This window comes from Homo sapiens, chromosome 16 (genome assembly GCF_000001405.40).
Source record: "Homo sapiens chromosome 16, GRCh38.p14 Primary Assembly".
NCBI lineage: Eukaryota > Metazoa > Chordata > Mammalia > Primates > Hominidae > Homo > Homo sapiens.
In genome coordinates, this window is record NC_000016.10 from 74,684,800 (window position 1) to 74,705,770 (window position 20,971).

Sequence of the window (20,971 nt, forward strand, 5' to 3'; positions counted from 1 at the left end):
TTTTAGATTTGTTCTATACTAATGATGACCAAGGGTGTTTTCCTTCTTTGGGTCAGACAGCTTTATAATTTATTTTTATTTTTGAGACGGAGTCTTGCTCTGTTGCCCAGGCTGGAATGCAATGGTGCACCCTCAGCTCACTGCAACCTCCGCTTCCCAGGTTCAAGCAATTCTCCCACCTCAGCCTCCCGAGTAGCTGGGACTACAGATGCCTGCCACCAGACCCAGCTAATTTTTGTATTTTAGTAGAGATGGGGTTTCACCATGTTGGCTGGGCTGGTCTTGAACTCCTGACCTCAAGTGACCTGCCTGTCTCGGCTTACCAAAGTGCTGGGATTACAGGTGTGAGCCACTGCACCTGGCAGCTTTATAATGTTTTAGAGCAACAAGATGCACCCCTCTTCCAGGCTGGCATCTAAACATGCACCCCCTTATTTCCCAGTGGGCTGAAAGGAGAAGATGTGGCCATGTTAGTGCAAACCACCCCTCAGCCTTCAGCCCTGCCCTCCTGAAAGAAGATGAGAACATGCATCTTGGGATGAAAAAAAAAAAATTAACATTGATAATAATCACACTTTGTGGATTCCACCCTTTGTGATGTTCTTTAAAAAAATGCAACACATTAAAACACAGGAGGTGTGTTCTAGGCCATCCAAAGCTTGACCAATCCTAGAAGCATTCCTTACCTGTTTCATCAATGCAAATCCCAAATATACGCAGGATGTTGGGAGATTCGAATTTCTTCATGGTTTTGATCTCCTTATTGAAAGTCTGCCTCACTATTCTATAAGGATTAAAGAGAGAAATCAGGATTTCAGAACTGGAAGGTTCCTTAGAGAACATTCAGTGTGGTGACCCTCTGTGTATGTGGGGGCGGGGGTATCAGCATCTGGGGTGAGAACTGGTGCCAGGATGAACTCAGCTACTGATAACAACATGTGGAACCCCTCAGGTGCCTGTGGCAGCACAATTAGTCCCTCGGGGTCTGTCAGATATTAATGGGACTTGCTAATATCTTTTCAGTAGTTCAAATAGTCTGATAGAATTGTATTTTTATGACCTACAGGGCTTTACTAGGCAAACTAAAAAGTCAAGTATTTGTTACTGTTTTTAGGCTGTAACCTGTTGTTTAGCATATACTCTGACAGATTGTGGTGTGTGTCTTTTTTTTTTTTTTGGAGACAGGGTCTTGCTTTGTCACCCAGGCTGGAGTGCAGTGGTGCGATCTTGGCTCACTGCAGCCTCCACCTCCCAGGTTGAAGCAATTCTCATGCCTCAGCCACCTGAGTAGCTGGAACTACAGGTGCGTGCCACCATGCTTGGCTAATTTTTGTATTTTTTTTGCAGAGACATGATTTCACCATGTTGGCCAGGCTGGTGTCAAACTCCTGGCCTCAAGTGATTTGCCTGCCTACGCCTCCCAAAGTGCTGGGATTTCAGGTGTGAGTCACCGTGCCCAGCCCGTGGTGTGTGTCTTTGATGAATAAAAATAATGATACTAGGCCGGGCGTGGTGGCTCATGCCTGTAATCCCAGCACTTTGGGAGGCCGAGGCAGGTGGATCACAAGGTCAGGAGTTCGAGACAATCCTGCCGAACATGGTGAAACCCCGTCTCTACTAAAAATACAAAAAAATTAGCTGGGTGTGGTGGCGGGCGCCTGTAGCCCCAGCTACTTGGGAGGCTGAGGCAGGAGAACGGCGTGAACCCAGGAGGTGGAGCTTGCAGTGAGCCGAGATCACACCATTGCACTCCAGCCTGGGTGACAGAACGAGACTACGTCTCCACACACACACAAAAAAAGATATTTATTAAGTGAAATCTTATAACCAAAATTCCTTCCAAAACGTGGGCCTTAAAAAATGTAGGCAGGTAAATTATTAAAGAGGATCACTGGAACCACCAACTCAATCCAATCTGTTCATTCACTCTGAGTCTTAGACTCAAAGGGCAAAGGAGGCTTGTCCAAGGTCTGTCAGAGAATCAGGGCAGGTTCAGAGCCTATAAAAATCAATTGTATTTCTATCTGCTAGCAATTAACAATCAAAAGATTAAATTAAAAATTTTCATTTCCAATAGCATAAAGAGAATAAAATACTTAGGAATAAATTTACAAAAGAAGTGCAAGTCTCACCCTGAAAATTTTGTACCTAAATTGTTGAAAGAATTTTGTTTTGTTTTGTTTGTTTGTTTTTTGAGATGGAGCCTCACTTTTGTCGCCCAGGCTGAGTGCAATGGCATGATCTCGGCTCACTGCAACCTCTGCCTCCTGGGTTCAAGCAATTCTCCTGCCTCAGCCTCCCGAATAGCTGGGATTACAGGCGCTTGCTACCATGCCCGGCTAATTTTTGTATTTATAGTAGAGGCGGGGTTTCACCATGTTGGCCAGACTAGTCTCGAACTCCTGACCTCAGGTGATCCTCCTGCCTCAGCCTCCCAAAGTGCTGGGATTATAGGCATAACTCACTGCACCCAGCAAGAAATTTTAAAAGATCTAAATAAATGGAAACACGTCCCATGTTCTTGAATAGGAAGACTTTATACCATTAAGATGGTAACATTTTCCAAATTGACCTACAGGTTCAATGCAATCCTTACCCGATTTGTAGTTGGCTTAAAAAAAAAAAGCAAAAACAAAAACTGAAATTGACAAGATATTCCTAAAATTTGTGTGGAAATGAAAGGAATTCAGGATAGCCAAGACAGTCTTGCAAAAGAAGAACAAAGCTGGAAGACTTATACTTCTCAATTTCAAAACTTATCACAAGGTTACAGTAATGAAGACAGTATAGTGCTATCATAAGACTAGACAAACAGATCAATGGAATAGAATTGGGGGTCCGGAAATAAACTCATACATATAAAGCCAGTTGATTTTTCACAGTTTTTTTTTTTGGAACTTGCTCTGTCACCCAGGCTGGAGTGCAGCGATGCAATTTCTGCTCACTGCAATACCTGCCTTCTGGGTTCAAGAGATTCTACTGCCTCAGCCTCCCAAGTAGCTGGGACTACAGGTGCCTGCCACCACGCCTGGCTATTTTTTTTTGCGATGGAGTCTTGCTCTGTCAAGCAGGCTGGAGTGCAGTGGCGTGATCTCAGGTCACTGCAAGCTCTGCCTCTCAGGTTCACACCATTCTCCTGCCTCAGCCTCCTGAGTAGCTGGGACTACAGGTGCCCGCCACCACACCTGGCTAATTTTTTGTATTTTTAGTAGAGACGGGTTTCACCATATTAGCCAGGATGGTCTTGATCTCCTGACCTGGTGATCTGCCCGCCCTGGCCTCCCAAAGTGCTAGGATTACAGTCGTGAGCCACTGCGCCCAGCCAACGCCCGGCTAATTTTTGTATTTTTAGTGGAGATGGGGTTTCGCCATGTTGGCTAGGCTGGTCTCAAACTCCTGACCTCAAGTGATCCACCTGCCTCGGCCTCCCAAAGTGCTAGGATTACAGATGTGAGCTGCAGTGCCAGGCCAGCACAGTCTTTTAAACAAATGGCTCTGGGACATGTGAATATCAACATGCAGAAAAATGAAGTTGAATGACTACCTTATACAATACACCAAAATTAACTCTAACTTCGGAAACCTAAATATAAGAGCCAAAAACTATAAACTCTTAGAAGAAAACACAGGAGGGCCAGGTGCAGTGGCTCAAGCCTGTAATCCCAGCAGTTTGGGAGGCCAAGGTGGGTGGATTGCTTGAGGTTAGGAGTTTCAGACCAGCCTGGCCAACATGGTGAAACCCTGTCACCACTAAAAATACAAAAATTAACTGGGCCTGGTGGTGCATGCCTGTAGTTCCAGCTACTCGGGAGGCTGAGGCATGAGAATTGCTTGAACCTAGGAGATGGAGGTTGCAGTGACTGATATCACACCACTACACTCCAGCCTGGGTGACAGAGCAAGACTCCATCTCAAACAGAACAAAACAAAAAACCCCCAAAACCTGTACATGAATGTACACAGAAACATTATTCATAATAATCAAAAAGTGGAAAAAACACAAGGTCCTTCAATTGATTAATGGATAAGTAGGATATCCATACAACAGACTATCATTCAGCCATAAAAAGGAATGAAGAAATGATACTTGCTATAATATAGATGAACCTTGAAAATATCATGCTAAGTGAAAGAAGCCAGACTCAACAGGCCACATATTGTATTATTCCATTTACATTGAAGATTCAGAAAAGGCAAATCTATAGAGACAGAAGGTAGGACTGTTGCCTGGGCTCAGGATGGTGGTGATAGGGGTGAAAGAGGAATGACTGCTAGTGGGTATAGGGTTTCTCCTTCCTTCCTTCCTTTTTTCTTTTTTTTTTCTTTTTTTTTTTTGTTGGAGTCTTGCTCTGTTACCCAGGCTGGAGTGCAGTGGCACGATCTCAGCTCACTGCAACCTTGGCCTCCAAGGTTCAAGTGATTCTCCTGCCTCAGCCTCCCAAGTAGCTGGGATTATAGGCTCATGCCACCATGCCCAGCTAATTTTTGTATTTTTTAGTAGAGACGGGGTTTCACCATGTTGGCCAGGCTGGTCTTGAACTCCTGACCTCAGGTGATCTGCCCTCCTTGGCCTCCCAAAGTGCTGGGATTACAGGCGTGAGCCACTGCACCTGGCCTGTAAATATATTTAAAGCCATTAAATTGTACATTTTAAATAGGTAAATCTTACGGTATGTAAAATATATCTCAATAAAACTGTTAAAAATACAGTCTCAATGAAAATCTTGATGTGTATTTTGAGGAGTGTGATAAAACTTTCTTTGATATTTATTCAGCTAAGTCAACCTGAAAAAGAAGAATCAAGAGGAGGAAGTTCTTTACCAGATATCGAAATTTACTGCAAAGTCATATGAAAAAAACAGTAACAGTGTGTTACTGGTACAAAAACAGACAAATTGATCAGTGGGAAAGATTAGACAGATCAGAGTCAGATCTATGTCTATATAAAAACTTAATATACAATAAATATGGTACCACAAATCAACAGGGAAAAGACAGACGACTTAATAGATGGTATAGAGAAAACTGACTTACTATGTGGCTAAAAATAAAAGTTGACCCTACATAACGTCACATACAAAGGTGGATTCTAGTAGGATTAAAACCTAAATATAAAAAATAAAACTGGAAAGTTAAGAGAGGAAAATATAGAATGCCTTTAAGATCTAGAGGTGGAGCAGGACACCTCCAGAGCACAAATAAAAAGCTTGCAATGTCTAAAGCTGACAAGTGCTTTATTTCCACAATATACAAAGATTTACAAACAGACAAGACAAAAGCAGCAACCGTGATGGAAAAAAGGGCAGAGGATATGAACAGGCAATTTATGGAAGAGAAAACCCAAATAACTAAAACATGTAAATAAGGGCTTGAATTCATTAGTAAAAACAGAAATGCAAGTTCAAATAACTACAAGATATTGATCACTTTATAACTATAAAGATGAAAGTAATCAGAAAGCTGGATAACACTAAGGGTTGGTGAGGTTGCTTGTGGGAGTGTAGGCATAGACACTGTTCTGAAGAGTTGCCTGGTAGTACTTAGTCACTTAATATACACATATCCCATGGCCCATCATTTTCTCTCCTGGTGCTATATCCTGAAGGATTCTTATACAGGTCCCTAAAGGGAAACTAAGTATGGCATCTTTTTGGTGGGGAAAAGTTGGAAGCTGACTAGGTTCCATCACTGGAAAAAAAAAGAGACAAAATATATGGCTCACGCCTGTTATCCCAACATTTTGGAAGGCTGAGGCAGAAGGCGCTTGAGTCCAGGAGTTCCAGACAAGCCTGGGCAGCACAGTGGGTCCCTGTCTCTACAAAAAATTTAAATATTAGACAAGAATGGTGGTGCACACCTGCAGTCCCAGCTACTTGGGAGGCTGAGGTGTGAGGATTGCTGGAGCCCAGGAGGTTAAGGCTGCAATGAGCTATGATCTCACCACTGCACTCCAGCCTGGACAACAGAGTGAGACCTTGTCTCAAAAAAAAAAAAAAAAAAAAAAAAAAAAAGGCAAAATGTGGATCTTCACCATGGATGGCAGACAGAAATTAAGGAGTCCAGATATGGAACACGTTTCATGATGTTGAGTGAAAAAAGTGAGGAAAGGAGGCAACAGACACGTAACTCTACCAGTTGTGAACATGAAAAATGTATGCATACATTTTACAAGAACACATACAAACAAAACACACTAGAACTACTGTCTGTGGAGGGGATGAGCAACTGGGAAACAAGGTTGGAAGGGAAAGTTGTTTTTTTTTTTTAAATATATATGTGGACAAAGGAGAGAAGACCTAGAACTGAGGTGGAAAGATGTATTTAAGTCAAGACTCTGCTCCTTAACAGTGGAGAGCACATAATTTAACCCTTTAGGGCCCAGGCTTCCTCATCTAAAAATGGAGACGATATCCCTCTCTCCTTGGAGAGTTAGAGTAAGTATTGGTACACACGAGAGAACCACACAAAACAACTTACGCAATGCTGCCAGCCTGGAGTTTTTTGAATACTTTTATGGCCACTGGAGCTCTGTGGTATTCTCCTTTATAAAGTGTGCTGACTTCATTTTCCCTTAGCAGAATCCACGGGGATCCTGAAAGCTGCTCCTTCTTGATCTCCTTGATTTGCTCTTGCGGGATCTCCTGCATGCATTTTGGTGGTAAATCTGACCTCACCCCCGAGAGGAAAGAAGACAAAAGAGTCAATGAGCAGAGGAAGGGGTCCTAAGGGAGGTGGCATATTTGTGATGTGTGAGTGGGAAGCTCTACTACATGAACCAGAGCTGGTGGTGGCTGGGGCTTCTGATGGACTCAGCCCAAGGGAGCGGCTCCCGTGCCTCTGAGTGACCAGTAGAGACACAGCTGGACAGTTAACAGAATGTGTCATCCACTTCCTTTCCCTCCTCTTCAAATCCCGCCTGTCCCTCCAGCCTTAACCCTCATCCAGACTCATCTCTCTCATCCTGGAAGGATGTCTATTCCTGTTACCCAGAGCTTGGCACTTGAGCATCTGGCATCTGGCGTAGTCATTTCAGATCTAGTAGTTAGGGACATAGTTCAAGCTCAGTAACCTTGCTGTTGTGTGTTCACTGTCTGTCTTTCCTCTTTCCTCCTCCACCCCGTGAGCTCCTGGAAGGCAGTGTCCTTCTCTGCATCTTAGTTACCTCTTTGCATGGCCTCTGGCATAAACCAGATACTCACAGTTTTGTTGAATGAATGAATGAGTGGGCATTTTAAATTTGATTTGAATTTCTTCTTGGAAATTCAGCAACTGAACTGAAGCTTTGATTCTATTCATAGAGGTTTTTAAGTACTTTGACAGCTGCTAGAAGGTATCTTACTGGTCAAGAAGCTCTCTCCACATGTTATTCCATGGACAGAAGCCTGGGCTAGCCATGAATGGATCCCCAAACCTGTGGGCTGCTTCCAGCCATCCAGCACAGAAAATGGACAAATGCAGGGGTAGCGGGAGGCTGGGGTCCCAGTAAACTGATGACTTCTAGTTTGGGGGCCATCAGAAACAGCAGGGCACATGATAACTTACACTGCCTCAAAGTTTCCTTGATTTCTTTCATGTTGATTTCTAATCGTCTCAGTGAAGCTTCTATTTTTTCATTATCTGCAGGAAAAAAGGGCAGTATATGCTCAAAATAGATATTAAAATCACACGCCAATCAAAACTAAAATGCTAATTAAAACTGTTGAGATATCATTTTTTACCTATCATATTCATTATGGTAGGGATTACTACTGATCACCAATATTCAGATTTCTACTTCTGAGCACATAGGAAATGCATTAAAGCATGGCTGGGTAACTTGCTTTGGCTAAGAAATGAAGAAAAGAGATGTCTGTCACTTCCCAGAGGGAGCATTTAACTGACTCTGCATAAGGTTCCAACCTGGCTGCTTTGGAAGTGAGGAAAGTTTGCGTCAACGCAGAAGTGCTATACTATTGAAAGTATCCTGGAAGGAGGACATTCACCTTGGAGAGTCCCCTGGACTTTGCCTGAATGAGAAATAAACTTGTTTCTTTAGAACACTGAGTTGTTGTTTTTTAAACCACAGCATAATCAAATCAATCCTGATTTATATACTCAGAAACATGTTTGAAAATTTATAACACACTATTTACAGTGGTCAGCCATCCCTGTCTGCCCAGGACTGAGGAGCTCTGGGGACATGAAACCCTGACTACTAAAAGTGGGAAAGTCTCTTATGGGAAAAGTATAGAGAAGCAGATAACTCATGCATAGTTGGTAGAAGTAATATCTGTGCAACTTCTATCAAAATTTGAAATGCCTACAGTCTTTGACCTAGTGATTTTACCTAGCAATTCCACTTCTGGGAATTTCTCATAAAGATATCTTGAAATAGGCCAGGCGTGGTGGCTCATGCCTGTAATCCTAGCACTTTGGGAGGCCGAGTCAGGCAGATCACTTGAGGTCAGGAGTTTGAGACCAGCCTGGCCAAACTGGTCAGTAGAGATAGTGAAACCCCGTCTCTACTAAAAATACAAAAATTAGCCGGGTGTGGTGGCACATGCCTGTAATCCCAACTACTGGGGTGACTGAGGCACAAGAATCACTTGAACCCAGGAAGCAGAGGTTGCAGTGAGCCAAGATCGTGTCACTGCACTCCAGCAAGACTCTGTCTCAAAAAAAAAAAAAAAGAAAAGAAAAAAGAAAGAAAGAAAGAAAGAAAAGAAAAAAAAAGTTCTGGTGATGGATGGTCGCGATGGTTTCAGAACCATGTGAATATACTTGATGCCACTGAACTGGCATCTAAAAATGGTTGAAATGGTAAATTTTTTTTTTTTTTTTTTTGAGACGGAATCTCTCTGTCGCCCAGGCTGGAGTGCAGTGGAGCGATCTCAGCTCACTGCAGGCTCCGCCCCGCGGGGTTCACGCCATTCCCCCGCCTCAGCCTCCCGAGTAGCTGGGACTACAGGCGCCCACCACCTCGCCCGTCTAATTTTTTGTATTTTCAGTAGAGACGGGGTTTCACCGTGTTAGCCAGGATGGTCTCAATCTCCTGACCTCATGATCCGCCCGCCTCGGCCTCCCAAAGTGCTGGGATTACAGGCGTGAGCCACCCCGCCTGGCCGAAATGGTAAATTTTATGTTATGTATATTTTATCACAAAAAATGGGAAAAAATGATGGGTGTATGTATTGGGTTGTTTTTGAATTTGTGTGCTGCTAGTATGATCATAAAACAAAACAAAACAGTAGGGTAGATGCCAAGTAGGAAAACAAGCTATATAATTCAATGGATATTTACATGGGAGGATATTTAAGATTATTTAATGAGAAAAGAAGAAATAGAACAATGTGCTTGGCATGATGCTGACTGTGTGACAACAACAATAAAATATATATACTTAAATCTCCAGAAGGGTATTCAAGAAACTGGTAGATTGTGTGATTGTATCTCAGATTTTGATAAAGGTTGCACAAATATCCTACCAACAATGGATGAGATTATCATTTTGTCTATATGGTTTCCATCAGACTTCCCCAGTTTTAGTACTGAAGGTCTCATGTCCTCAGAAAGGGAAACAGGGGCCCCTGAGGTCAAGGAGGGAGATTTACTTCTCACGCCGGCCCCCTCCATCCTTTGTTTTTGGAGACAGGATCTCGCTCTGTCGCCCAGGCTGCAGTGCAATGGAGAAATCGTGGCTCACTGCAGCCTCGACCTCCTAGGTGCCTGTAATCCCAGCACTTTGGGAGGCTGAGGCAAGAGGATCACTTGAGGCCAGGAGTTCTACACCAGCCTGGGCAACATAGTGAGACTCTCTAACTACAAAAAATAAAATAAAAATTAGCTGGGCATTGTGGCGTGCACACCTATAGTACCAGCCACTCGGGAGCCTGAGGTGGGAGGATCACTTGAACCTGAGGCTGCAGTGAGCTATGATTGTGCCGCCGTCCTCTAGCCCGTGCAACAGAGACCCTGTCTCAAAAAATGAAACAAAACAAAACAAAACTCCTCTTCAACGCTGGCTTGCCCAAATTTCACCAGCCCCCACCATATATCTGGGCCAAAGGATGTTAGGAGTTTTGTTTGTTTGTTTGTTTGTTTGTTTGTTTTCTGAGGCAGAGTCTCGCTCTGTCGCCCAGGCTGGAGTGCAGTGGCGCGATCTCAGCTCACTGCAAGCTCTGCCTCCCGGGTTCACGCTGTTCTCCTGCCTCAGCCTCCCGAGTAGCTGGGACTACAGGCGCCCGCCACCATGCCCGGCTAATTTTTTGTATTTTTAGTAGAGACGGGGTTTCACCGTGTTAGCCAGGATGGTCTCAGTCTCCTGACCTAGTGATCAGCCCGCCTCGGCCTCCCAAAGTGCTGGGATTACAGGCGAGAGCCATCGCGCCCAGCTAGGAGTTTTGAGGTACAAGTATATTACAACTGCTCAAACTTCATCATTGCTGCTCCTTTGGTAAATTAAAGTGAGACTAAAATGCATTCAACTGCACTCCCACTCCCCACCAAAGACCCAGCTTGCCTCTTCTTAGCATCTGGAAAGCTCGCCTGTCTTCGTCTGCATCCTGCTGATCTTCCTGTGCCCAGGACGCTCCTTGGCTTATGGGTGAAACAGGCATGCGTTGCTCAACCTGAAGTAACAGCGAGAGCTCCTTCCAGACATCACTCAGCTTCCTGTTCACGTCCTTGAAGAGTATTTTGTCCTGGCTTGCTGTTAGAAACCTGCAGATATTGGATCTATTGCTGAACTTTTCTATCTCCCCATTAGCCTCCTCCAGGGCAGCCTTGAAGCGGTTCATGGCTGTGGTTAACTTCTCAGAGGGCACGCTCCTCTTTCCTTGGTCCTGGAGCATCTCCAGAGGCTTGATCAGGCCGAGGACGCGGTGGCCCAGGCGCCGGCACTGTTTCTTGCAGTATTTCATCTCTTCACACCGTTTGTGGATGACCTGGCCAAGGGTGATAATATGCTTCAAATTTTCCATGCCTGGAAGAAATGAATGGAATTTGGTGAAATCCCCAAATCTCCTGCATATTCACTACTTGGCTAAGAAAGAATCAAAGCGGTCTGTGACTTAAATGCCTGAGGAGGTCTCCCCAGCATTTTCATGCAAGATAGAGATGGTTTGCTACCCACCAAAATCTGTTCTGCCCTTGCACAATAATAGAGTTGTAGCTGGGAAGAGCTGGTCCAGCCGGAACTACATCTCCCAGCCTTCCTTGCAACTTGATGTGGCCATGTGACTAGTTCTCACCAATGGGGTTTAAGTGCATGTGACCTGCTCTACTTCGGACTGGGGCAGCTGTGCCGCCTCCTCACACTCTCCCTTGGTTGGCTGGATGCGTGGGGTGAAGCGGCCCTGGGGTGGTGGAGCCCCAAGAAGAGTCCTGAGTCCCTGGATAATCACTTGGAGGAGAGCTGCCCACAGACCTGGAACGTCTGTCATGGACTGTTAAGTGATCAAGGAATAAACTTGTATTGCATGTAAACCGTTAATATTTTCAGGTTGATATGTTTATATCAGTTTCGTCTATTACAGATATATCCTGCTAAAGCATAGAGGTTTCAGGGGCCAGGCGGGTAATTCAAATGAGTGAAGTGAGCTGAGGTAGTCTTTACTGCCACAGATAAATATGTTTCTTTCTGTTTTTTTTTAAAACATGTGGACTATCTTTCATTTTTCCTACAAAAAATTGTTCAGTTTCTTCCTACAGTCCTTTAAGAAAAATGCAGCTGGGCGAGGTGGCTCCCACCGATAATCCCAGCACTTTGAGAGGAAGAGACAGGAGGATTGCTTGAGGCCAGGAGTTCCAGACCAGTCTGGACAGCAAAGTGAGACCCTTTCTCTACAAAAATAAAAAAAATAAAATAAAATAAAATGAAATAAATAAAATATAAAATTGGCTGGGCGCGGTGACTCACGCCAGTAATCCCAGCACTTTGGAAGGCTGAGGTGGGCGGATCACTTGAGGTCAGGAGTTGGAAACCAGCCTGGCCAACATGGTGAAACCCCGTCTCTACTAAAAATACAAAAATTAGCTAGGTGTGGTGGTGCATGCCTGTAATCCCAGCTACTCGGAGGGCTAAGCCAGGAGAATTGCTTGAACCCAGGGGGTGGAGGTTGCACCATCTCAAAAAAATGTAATACATTACATATATATAGTAATATATATAATATTACATATATATAGTAATATATATGTAATATTACATATATAGTAATACATATATATAATATTACATATATATAGTAATACATATATATAATATTACATATATATTATATATATAAGTTAGCCTGGTGTGGTGGCACACACCCGTAGTCTCAGCTACCTGGGAAGTTGAGATAGGAGGATTCCTTGAGTCCAGGAGGTTGAGGCTGCAGTGCCAGCTTCCTACTCTTAACCTCTCTCTCTTCTCTGAACATGAGTGAGGAAGCACAGAGCCCTGATCCTAAAGCTTGGAATGAGGCTAACCTGAGCATGGTAGAATGGAAAGGGAGAAAGAATCTGAGTCTTTGATGACAACATTGAGCCACTGGTTTGAACTGACATGAAGTGTACCCCATCCCCTAACTGCAGGTTTCATGAACCAATAACCTCCCTGATTGTTTAAGGCAGTTTGAATCATGTTTGCTTTATTTGCAACTGAAGCCGACTGCGTTCAGCAATGAATGATGATAATAATTATGACACTAGATCTCTCAATTCACCTACTACATCCTAAGTGCTTTGGAACCCCCAGCTCTCCATGGTTATTTTCATTTAACAGATGAAGATACCATCTGGGCACAGTAGTTCATACCCGTAATCCCAACATTTTGGGAGGTAGAGGTGGGAAGATTGCTTGAGGCCAGGAGTTCCATTCTGGGCAACACAGCGAGACCCATCTCTACTAAAAATACAAAAATTAGCTGGGACCTGTAGTCCCAGCTACTCAGGAGGCTGAGGCGGGAGAATCGCTTGAGCCTGGGAGGTTGAGGCTGCAGTGAGCTATGATGACACCACTGCACTCCAGCCAGGGAAACAGAGAGACCCTGTCTCGAAAAAACAAACAGGTGAAAAGTGAAGATGCTGCGGTTCAGGGAGGTTGCATTCAAATAATCACAAGGCCATGGAACCAGTTTTCAAAGTATTTAAAATAAAGTTAGGGTAGGGTGTCATGACTCAAACCTGTAATCCCAGCACTTTGTGAGGCTGAGGCCAGGGGATCGTATGAGCCTGAGTTCGAGACCAGCCTGGGCAACATGGTGAAACCCTGTCTCTACAAAAAAATACAAAAATTTGCTGGATGTGGTGGTGCTTGCCTGTAGTCCCAGCTACTCTGGAGCCTGAGGAGGGAGAATTGATTGAGGCTGGGAGGTCGAGGCTGCAGTGAGCCATGATTGTGCCACTGACTCCATTCCAGCATGGGCAACAGAATGAGACAGTGTCTCAAAAACACCACCACCACCACCACTAACAAACGACAACAAAAAACAAAGTTAGTTTTTTTTTTTTTAACAGCTCAGTGAAATAGGTAGGTTAAGTATTATCGCCAGTTTATGGATTAATTAGCAGCTTGGAGAAAATAATTGGCCTGGAGCCCAAGTATGGCTTTAAAACATGAGTAAGGCACTGGCAGAAGTGAAACTAAATAAATGAGCAATCGATATAGTTGTGTTTTTGTTGCCTGAGAGTTACAGTGATTGGGCAAGGGAGGTAACAGTTATTAGGGCACTCCTAAAAAGACTAGTGGATCTCAGACTACCCAGCTATTCCCACGTGCTAAGCAGATATCTTCAAGGCCATTTCTTGGGAATTGTGAGGGCAAAAGGTTTTACACTTTCTCTGTTGCACCAGAAACAGAAGCAAATGTGGCAATGTTGTTCAAGGAATCTTGCAAATTGTAGCTTCCTAGCTCTAAGCTCCAGTTATCTTACCAGCAGCCTCATCAGAAAGCCATATCTCAGCACTGAACTAATCAGAAAGGAAAATGGGGAAAATATCCCACCCATAGAACTGACAAACAATTTCAAATAATAAATTATACAGTGGTGGCATGGTATGAAGAAAATTGCAGCGGTCACATTGGCTCATGCCTGTAATCTCAGCGCTTTGGAAGGCCGAGGCAGGTGGATCACCTGAGGTCGGGAGTTTGAGATCGCCCGGCCAACATGGTGAAACCCCATCTCTACTAAAAATACTAAAATTAGCCAAGCATGGTAGCAGGCGCCTGTAATCCCAGCTACTCGGGAGGCTGAGGCAGGAGAATTGCTTGAACCCGGGAGGTGGAGGTTGCACTGAGCCGAGATCACACCACTGTGCTCCAACCTGGGCAACAGAGCAAAACTCCGTCTCAAAAACAAAAACAAAAACAAAAAAAAAGAAAGAAAGAAAATTGCACAAAACAAAGCTTGAAGAAAGGAGGAAAGAGAAGTGTTATATTTCTGGCTGGGAAGACTAAAACAGACCAACCCAGCAATCCTTCCCAAATTTAAATCCAATTTAATGCAGTTCCAATAAAACATCTACTGACATATTTTGGCATTAAATCAAAATGATCCTAAAGTTCATTTGAAATGGGAAATTAGTAGGGATAACCAGGATTTTAAAAAATAAAGAAAAGGGGACTTGCCTGTATGAAATTAAAATATATTAAAAACTGCAAAATATTGGGAAAAAGCACCCTACAATAACTTAAATTGTTTAAGGTCTTATTAAGTATATGATCTACAAGGGAAGAAAGGGAATATACATATATACACACTTAGACTGGGCAATTTGAATTTCTAGGAACTTATGATGTAGAAAAGCTTGTGTTTGTAGATAGATGGCTACCGAGATGTTCACTGCAGTGCTATTTATAATATGTAAAACAAACAGCTAAGAATATGTTCAGGCCAGCTGCAGTGGCTCACACCTGTAATCCCAGCACTTTGGGAGGGTGAGGTAGGAGGATCACCTGAGCCCAGGAGTTTGAGACCAGCCTGGGTGACAAAGCGAGACCCTGGCTCTACCAAAAAATACAAAAAAAATTTAATTGGGTGTGGTGATGTGCACCTTGTAGTCCTAGCTACTTGGGAGGATCTGGTTGGAGGATCACTTGAGCCCATGAGTTCGGAGGCTGCAGTGAGCTATGATTGTGCCACTGCGCTCCAGCCTGGGCAACAGAGGAAGACTCCATCTCTCAAAATAAATAAATAAAAAGAAAAAGGGGATTATGTTCATATGTTACGATGAGAAAACAGGTTACTAATTTTAAAAGTGAAAAATCTTTAAATGGTAATAACAATGCAAATTCACCTCTTCCCTCCAAAAAATAAAAAATAAAAATAAAATAAAATAAGTAAAGGTTATCAGGCATTTCCCTCTTCTCTCTCTCTCACTCTGTCTCTCTCTCACGCCTTCAGCCTGCAAACCTGAAGACTTCCTTTTTCTGAGAAGACATCAGGTAACTTGTTCCCGTGCCCCTGCCCTCCACGACCCCCACTGCTACTGGGCGTCTCGCTTTGGCGGAAGGTAGTGCGAGATCCGAGCAGGCAGCTCCACCATCAGAGCTGAGGAAATGAAACCAACTCGGTCCTGAGTTCCAGGAACTCGGACCGGGCCACCCTCACCCCTGGTTCTTCCCATCACCGTCCAGGAATTCGGCTGCAGCCCCTCGGCCCCGCCGCCTCCTGGGAAGACCCCATGCTCACCTTCGCGCCTCCCGAGGGGTGTGCGTCCAATCTGTCCCGTGCACAGTTCCAAAAAGCTCGCTCTTCCACCTTCTTTCCCACGACCGCCTCCTGCCCAGGCGAGAAGTTTGCAAACGCGAGGCCCGCGGGAGTTCCCCTGCGCCCCCTTTCCTGGTGCCCGCACCCTGCACTCTGCTGACTGTACCGGACGCCACACGTGGCTGGCGGCGACAAGGCGCCCCGATCCCTACCTGAGGGAAACCCCGGCCACTGCAGCTGCACTTGAGCAGGGTCCCTCCACTCAGCCACTTGGATGGCTGTTTCTGTCCAGTGCCCTCCGGAGGCCACTGCCTCAGGTCTGTGATGCCTGCAGAGAATGCTGCGACACTTCCCCCTCCGACGTGGCTCCAGCTGCCAACCACCAGGCTCACGGTGCCCTGGCTCCCTGGAGCCGCTTTCTAGGCAGCTCGGAGCCACGGCCCCTCCCTTCCTTCCTCCTGTCCTTTCCACACTCTTCCTGCCTTCCCCAAAGTCACTGGGTAACTACGCTGTACACGTCAGTACCAAGCCTTCTTTAGGGGCTGGGGATTCAGAATAGAATAAGGTCCCAGCAACTATTATAACCAGGACACAGTATGAGAAGGACTGGAAGTTTAGAGAAAAACTGAAAGTTGGAGAGAAGCTTCTGGTGTTTGCTTCTCTGTGCTGGATAATATTGGCGGGGTGGGGAGGGTACGAGGGAAGAGACACCAAAGTGGGAAAAAAGTCACTTCCTCTTCTAAGGTCATTGCAGAACATCCTGTTACAGTGTGAGTCAGGTTTTCTTAAGATTAACTACATCTTCAGCTAGAAAGTCTAAGTAGTGTTATGCATTTACTCAACAGACTATTTGCCTCTAAAAGAACAGAACTGGGAGCTGGGTGTGGTGGCTCATGCCTGTAATTCCAGCACTTTGGGAGGCGGAGGTGGCCAGATCACCTGAGGTCAGGAGTTCAAGACCATCCTGGCCAACATGGGGAAACCCTGTCTCTACTAAAAATACAAAAATTAGCCAGGCGTGGTGGTGCATGCCTGTAATCCCAGCTACTCGGGAGCCTGAGAGGGGAGAATCGCTTGAAGCCGGCCTTGGAGATTCATTTCTTCGCCTTGCTATTGTTCTTCGTCTCCTGCATCATCAGTTTTCTTCCTGTCTTAGGTGAAGAGATTGAGGTGAGGCAGGAGAATAGGGTCTGCAGGCAGGGAACATAAAGCTGATTCACGCTGACTTCTTAGAACTAAATAAAATGGACACATTTCAGCTATGACAGGAAATATTTTCTTCATTTACATATGGCGTTCACTGAGTAAGTGACTGAGCAACTTCACTTCATCTTCTTCATTTACATAGGGTGTACACCAATTAACCAATGGGAGCCTCTAGAGGGTATTTAAATCCCAGAAAATTCTGTAACGGAGTTCTTGAGCCCCTATGCTCACGCTGGCTCCCACCCTGTGGAGTGTACCTTTGTTTTCAATACATCTCTGCTTTTGTTGCCTCATTCTTTCCTTGCTTTGTGCATTTTGCCCATTTCTTTGTTCAAGATGCCAAGAACCTGGACACCTTCAACAAGTAACACAGGTGCCTGTGATTTATTGAAGGAAGACTCTTAGGAGAGTGGTGGGTATGATAGGGCAGAGGAAGAAAAAGTGAAACAAGTATGTAGTCAGTGGAGGCTCCATGGGGAGGTCTGGAATGTGAAGGTCTGGAACAAGAGGCAGCCTCCTTTCTGCCCAGGGCAATTCTTCTGGACGAGGGGGAAGCTGTGTGAGTGTTTAGCTGTCAACACTCATAGCAGCTGCAGGATGGGTATACTGATCTGCTATAAACAAAATCATACAATGTATAACCTTTTGGAAGTTTTTTTCTTTTCTTTTCTTTTTTTTTTTTTTTACTGTCCCACCATCAATGTACAAGACATTCAGTTTCTCTGCATCCTCAGCAGCATTTTATTTTGTCCCTGCCTGAATTTTTAGCTATTCTAACAGGTGAATAGTGATATATCATCATGGTTTTTTGTTTTGTTTTGTTTTGAGATAGAGTCTTACTCTGTTGCCCAGGCTGGAGTGCAGTGGCGCCATCTCAGCTCACTGCAACCTCCACCTCCTGGGTTCAAGCGATTCTCCAGCCTCAGCCTCCCAAGTAGCTGGGACTACAGGCGTGCACCACCACACCTGTCTATTTTTTGTATTTTTAGTAGAGACAGCGTTTCGCCATATTGGCCAGACTGGTCTCGAACTCCTGACCTCAGGTGATCCACCCACCTTGGCCTCCCAAAGTGCTGGGATTATAGGCATGAGCCACTGCGCCTGGTCTCATCATGGTTTTAATTGGCATTTCTTTAGTGCCTGGTGATGATGGACATGTTTTCATGTGCTTGTTTGCCATCTGTATAGCCTCATTGGTGAAATGTCTGTCCATGTCTTTTGCCCATTTTTAGTTGAATTCTTTTTAAAAAACTTGAGTTTTGAGAGTTTAAATATTCTAGATATTAATCCTTTGCCAGATAGGTGGTGTTCAAATGGTGGTGGAGTAACTGAACAAAAAAATGAACTTCACCTAAACCTCATATTCTATGCAAAAATTGCCTGAATGGATCAGAGATTTAAATGTAAAATGTAAAACAAGGAACCTTTTAGAAGAAAGCAGAGAGAACTGTGCAGAATGAAAGGACATTTCCTGTTGAGAAAATGTAAATGTTTGAAAAAAGTTTAGGGCCGGTCGCAGTGGCTCACGCCTGTAATCCCAGCACTTTGGGAGGCCGAGGTGGGCGGATCACGAGGTCAGGAGATTAAGACCATCCTGGCTAACACGGTGAAACCCCATCTCTACTAAAAATACAAAAAAAAATTAGCCGGATGTGGTGGCGGGTGCCTGTAGTCCCAGCTACTCGGGAGGCTGAGGCAGGAGAACGATGTGAACCCAGGAGGCGGAGCTTGCAGTGAGCCGAGATCGCGCCATTGCACACCAGCCTGGGTGGCAGAGTGAGACTCCGTCTCAAAAAAAAAAAAAAAAAAAAAGAAAAGAAAAAAGTTTAAATGAGCCCTTTAAAATGTTTTTATTTTTAGTAGAGACAGAGGTCTCCCTGTGTTGCTGAGGCTGATCTTGAACTTCTGAACTCAAGCAATCCTCATGCCTTGGCCCCCCAAAGTGTTGGGATTACGAGCTTGAGCCACCTTGCCTGGCCAAATGAGTCTATTTAATAAGAATGGCTATTCATACTAAAAATTGTACAATATTAAAAATAATTCCCAGTTTCTTTGGCTTTATCTTGGAGTTGCCATTTGAAAAAAAAAATCACAAACATTTGAAAAAAAAAAAAACTTGTAGAACATGTAGAAGAAAATCTTCAGAACCTAAGGCTAGGCGAAGAATTCTTAGGCATAACATCAAAGCCATTATTATTCTTTCTTCTTTTCTTTTTCTTTCTTTTTTTTTTTTTTGAGACGGAGTCTCCCTCTGTTGCCAGGCTGTAGTGCAGTGCTGTGATCTCAGCTTACTGCAACCTCCACCTCCAGGGCTCAAACAATTCTCCTGCCTCAGCCTTCCAACAAGCTGGGACTACAGGCATGTGCCACCACGCTTGGCTAGTTTTTTTTTGTATTTTTAGTAGAGATGGAGTTTTAGCATGTTGGCCAGGCTGGTCTCGAACTCCTGACCTCAAGTGATCTACCTGCCTTGGCCTCCCAAAGTGCTGGGATTACAGGCATGAGCCACTGCGCCTGGCCCCAAAGCCATTATTCTTAAAATTAAAAAATGATAAATCAGACTTGATCAAAATTTGAAACTTGCTCTGCAAAGACCCTTTTAAGGGGATGAAAAGACAAGTTACAGATTGGGAGAAAATGTTTGCAAATCACATGTCAAATAATATGCTTCTAAATAATTCATGAGTCAAAAAGGACATTTTCTCAAGAGAAATGAAGATATATTTTGCTCAATAAATTTAAACAGATCAAAATCATACAAAGCATCTTCTTTGACCACAATAGAATAAAACTAGAAATAAATAACAGAAAGAGAACTGGAATATTCACAAATATGCAGAAATTAAACAACATACACTTAAACAACTAGTGGGACAAAGAAGAAATCACAAGGGAAATTAGAAAATACTTCGAGACAAATAAAAGATACAACATGCCAAAACTTAGGGGATGCAGCAAAAACAGTTCTCAAAGGATAATTTATAGCTACATGGCTACAAAAGAGAAAAAGAGAGAGGCCTGGTGCCGTGGCTCATGCCTGTAATCCCAGCACTTTGGGAGGCTGAGGCGGGTGGATCACGAGGTTAGGAGTTCAAGACCAGCCTGGCCAACACGGTGAAACCCCGTCTGCTAAAAATACAAAAAAAAAAAAAAAAAAAATAGCCCGACGTGATGGCGGGCACCTGTAATCTCAGCTACTCAGGCGGCTGAGGCAGGAGAATCGCTTGAACCCAGGAGGCAGAGGTTGTAGTGAGCCAAGATCATGCCACTGCACTCCAGCCTGGGTGACAGAGTGAGACTCCATCTCAAAAAAAAAAAAAAAAAAAAGAGAGAGAGAGATCTCAAATCATTATCCCAACTCTACCCTTTAAGGAACTAGTAAAAGAAGAACAAATCAAACCCAAAACTAGCAGAAGGGAGGAAATTACCAAGATCAGAAAAGAGAAAATCAATGAAACTGAAAGTTAGTTCTTTGAAAAGATTAATAAAATTGACGAATCCTTAGCTAAACTAAAACAAAAAGAAGATGAAAATAACTTAAATCAGAAATGAAAGTGGGGACCTTACTATCTACCTTACAGAAATAAAAAGGACTATGAGAGAAAACTATGAACAATTGTTTGCCAACCAATTAGGTAACCTAGAGGATATGGACAAATTCCCAGGCACGCAAAATTTACCTAATTCACTCAATGAGAAATAGAAAATCTGAACATACCTACAACAAGTAAAGAAATTGAATTAATAATCAAAACTCCTCCAAACAAGTAAAGTCCAGGCCTAATAGTTTTACAGTAAATTCTACCAAACATTTTTTTCTTTCTTGGAGACTTTTATTTATTGTATTTATTATATTTTTTTATTATATTTTAAGTCCTGGGGTACAGTGCAGAATGTGCAGTTTTGTTACATAGGTATACACGTGCCATGCTGGTTTCCTGCACCCATCAACCCGCCACCTACATTAGGTATTTCTCCTAATGCTATCCCTTCCCTAGCCCCCACCACCTGACAGGCCCTGGTGGGTGATGTTCACTTCCCTGCGTCAATGTGTTCTCATTGTTCAACTCCCACTTATGAGTGAGAACATGCGG

General features: G+C 43.9%; 1 protein-coding gene across 11 annotated transcripts in view, besides 2 other annotated features; it reads right to left on the reverse strand.

Annotated features, from left to right (window-relative positions):
* MLKL (mixed lineage kinase domain like pseudokinase) overlaps positions 1 to 16,063 on the reverse strand; it is a 29,008-nt gene extending 12,945 nt beyond the window's left edge. For 9 of the 11 annotated variants that reach the window (NM_152649.4, XM_047433704.1, XM_047433710.1 and 6 more), the window contains exons 1-5: positions 15,654 to 16,063; positions 10,499 to 10,960; positions 7,543 to 7,617; positions 6,478 to 6,664; positions 687 to 784 (exon numbers count right to left, since the gene is read on the reverse strand). In NM_152649.4, coding sequence (NP_689862.1) covers positions 687 to 784; positions 6,478 to 6,664; positions 7,543 to 7,617; positions 10,499 to 10,958 — 820 coding nt within the window. In that variant the 5' untranslated portion in view covers positions 10,959 to 10,960; positions 15,654 to 16,063. The remainder of the gene's footprint in view (positions 1 to 686; positions 785 to 6,477; positions 6,665 to 7,542; positions 7,618 to 10,498; positions 10,961 to 15,653) is intronic. The other 2 variants (XM_005255834.5, NM_001142497.3) reach the window with 2 other exon arrangements.
* Positions 9,496 to 9,665: a silencer, noted in NCBI's record as "fragment chr16:74728193-74728362 (GRCh37/hg19 assembly coordinates)". NCBI's record gives its function as "represses an EF-1alpha promoter that drives an FKBP-Casp9 reporter gene in an ReSE screen in K562 erythroleukemia cells {active_cell/tissue: K562}" and the evidence as "EXISTENCE:reporter gene assay evidence [ECO:0000049][PMID:32094911]".
* Positions 15,517 to 15,966: an enhancer, noted in NCBI's record as "active region_11108". NCBI's record gives its function as "activates an Ori minimal core promoter by ATAC-STARR-seq in GM12878 lymphoblastoid cells {active_cell/tissue: GM12878}" and the evidence as "EXISTENCE:reporter gene assay evidence [ECO:0000049][PMID:35858748]".